Source organism: Homo sapiens, chromosome 16 (assembly GCF_000001405.40).
Source record: "Homo sapiens chromosome 16, GRCh38.p14 Primary Assembly".
NCBI classification, from domain to species: domain Eukaryota; kingdom Metazoa; phylum Chordata; class Mammalia; order Primates; family Hominidae; genus Homo; species Homo sapiens.
Window position 1 is genome coordinate 54,487,290 of NC_000016.10, and position 2,796 is coordinate 54,490,085.

At 40.9% G+C, this 2,796-nt stretch overlaps 1 annotated feature.

The window, feature by feature from the left end:
* Positions 1,857 to 2,060: a silencer, noted in NCBI's record as "fragment chr16:54523058-54523261 (GRCh37/hg19 assembly coordinates)". NCBI's record gives its function as "represses an EF-1alpha promoter that drives an FKBP-Casp9 reporter gene in an ReSE screen in K562 erythroleukemia cells {active_cell/tissue: K562}" and the evidence as "EXISTENCE:reporter gene assay evidence [ECO:0000049][PMID:32094911]".

Here is a 2,796-nt window from a genome sequence, read left to right on the forward strand (position 1 = left end):
GAATTTTTTTTTTTTTTTTTAACTAAGAGACAGCGTCTTGCTGTGTCACCTAGGCTGGAGTTCAGTGGTTCAACAAATCATAGGTCACCGTAACATGGACTCCTGGGCTCAAGCAATTCTCTCGCCTCAGCCTCCCAAGTAGCTGGGATCACAGGCATTTGCCACCATACCCAGCTAATTTAAAAAAAAAATTTGTAGATACAGTGTTTCTTGCTATGCTGCTCAGGTTTATCTCGAGCTCCTGGGCTCAAGCAATCCTCCAGCCTCAGCCTCCCAAAGTGGTGGGATTATAAGGATGAGCCAACGTGCCCAGCTCTTGACTTATATTTTAAAGGACCTAGGGCATCTTTATTTTCTTGGGTGCTGAGGTGGGAGTGAGAATGTGGGGCTAAGAGAAAGGCTTAATTTCACAATGACAAGTTCAAGGGTTTAATTTTACGAACAGCTGAAAATCCTCACTTTGAAAAGTGCATTTGGATTGGCAAAGCTTAAAGAATTTGATGGTATCAAAATGTTGTCAAAGATGTGAGGAAAGAGCTATTCCCATATGCCATATAAATGTGTTCAGTGATCTTGGAGGGCAATTTGGCAATATCTAGAAAAATTTCAAGTGTGTGTGTGCCCTACGATTGTCCAAAATCACGTTTAAATATGTCTGTGTGTGCCCACAGAGAGAGGTAAAAGCATATTTATTAAAATATTGAAAAGACTGGAAACAGCCTAAATATCCACCAATAAAAAGGGATGGTTTAAAAAAAAAAAAGGTTTCAATCCATGGAACCCTTCTAGCCAGATCTCAGCTTGCTGTGCCAAACCCATGGCTTGAGAAACTCTAACTCTGAGAGACTGTGTTGGCTACCGGTCAGAACCAAGAGTTCTGGCTTCCATTGCCTGCCACGAATCTTGGCTCCTTCTTTTGCTCACAGTGTGATCATGGGCAATTTTCTAGGCCTCTTTGTGCGTTAGTTTCCTCATTTACAAATTAGAAGTGACAATATTAATATCTTGTTCATAGGTATAACTATTGTTATAAAGTTTAAAGGTATCAGTGCAAGCAAATCTAGAATGGTGTATGTTTCATGGTGTTTGTTGCATAGTATTGCTAAATAATCTCAATAAATGTGAGATAGGATAAGGTGATGGTGATGATGATGATGATGATTAGCTATGGCTTGGATGCATGTCAGATAGTAACTGAAAAAGTAACAACAAGCAAACAATGACAGAGAACAAAGTTCAGAGAAATGATCTAGGCTGTTACAAACCCAGGCAAAGATTTGATCCTTACTCACAAACTAGAGTAAGAAAATAATCAGTGGTGGCATCTAAAAAAGGGGAGATGGGGAGCCTTTCTACAAAAACGAGATTTTAAGGGTTCAACATGGAGGCACTGATGTTTATGAGGGGCGAATATGGTGGCCATATACATTCACATGACCGTGGTGAAACTAACAAAAGTTTAATCCCTGGGGGGCAGAGAGGCTATCGTGGCAAACACCTCCATTCTGGCTGCAATGCCAATACATTTTGTCATCCTAAGAGTCTGAAATGTTGTTCAGGATTTTCCCACAGTGAGAGAAATGTTTTTATTTCAGTCCCCAGTGAATCCCTTGGATCCAACAGAAATCTTGCTGCTTTCGAAAACATCCCTGAATTCCACTATCCAAATGCAAGTTCTTTCTCAGTGACCTGCTTACTTGCAGCCTTGCCTACTGCCTCCTGGGGTTCCTGAGGACTAGCAAAGGGGATTTCTTGATATTTAGCAATGAGCAATCTCTCTCAGGAAACATGAGCACCTGGCATGGAGGAGATCGCAGTTCCTCTTGCAGAAATTTGCCTAGTCTTCTTCCTCCAAGATAAGTGACAGATTCTTTGGGGTATTAAGGTAATACTGCACCTCCAGTTCCAGCACCAAGGCTTCTGCCCTGCCATGAAGCAATTTTCATTTCAGTGAAAGATGTAGGAGTCACGTTCCAAATTGCTGCTGAATAATTCTGAGACATCTGCAGAGATTCCAAGGCAGCCACTGTGCTCTGTTTACCAACACAATTAAACCTCGACCATTCCCTGCTGCAGTACAAATATAATCTTATCTACTTAACGTCAGCCGATTAAGTCATCGGGGCTGCAAAATGGTAAACAGATATTAATAACCAACCTATAAGTGAGTCATTTGAGTGAAGTGGAATATCATGGCAGGTTCTTAGGCCTTAAGGTGGAAAAGTTCACACCTTCCTGACACTGCTATAAAACACTGCAACATTACAACTTTTCAACCATATCTAAAAGGCCAATTTAGGTTTATTCCCATCCGCGTTTATGGCCATGGTTCAGCAGGTGTAAACCGGTAATAGCTGCAGTCCAGCTCTGGGTGGATGCCAGCACAGATGTGTTCAGTCAAATGACTAATTGAAAACCTTAGACAAAATCAGCAGCCTGGCCATTTTGCCTGCATAATAAAACAGTGCTGATAAAGGCAGTGGAGAAAAAAATCCACCCATCTCATCATCAGTGCCATTAACAATCATGAGTAAAGATGAAAACAACGCATGGTTTATTCTGCAAATGAAGGCATATAACTAGATGGTTTCCCAGGGGCCCATTACCCATTTTAATAATACATCAAGGAGCCTGAGCAAACAGTTTGTATGTGCAAACCAAACAGAACAAACTATTTACAGTTACCGCATACAGAGACAACTCCCAGCACTCTGGATTTAACAAATTTATAAAGGTACATAACATGATAGCTATTAGCAAAATTAAAAGAGAACCATTATAGACTTAGAGGCTGCC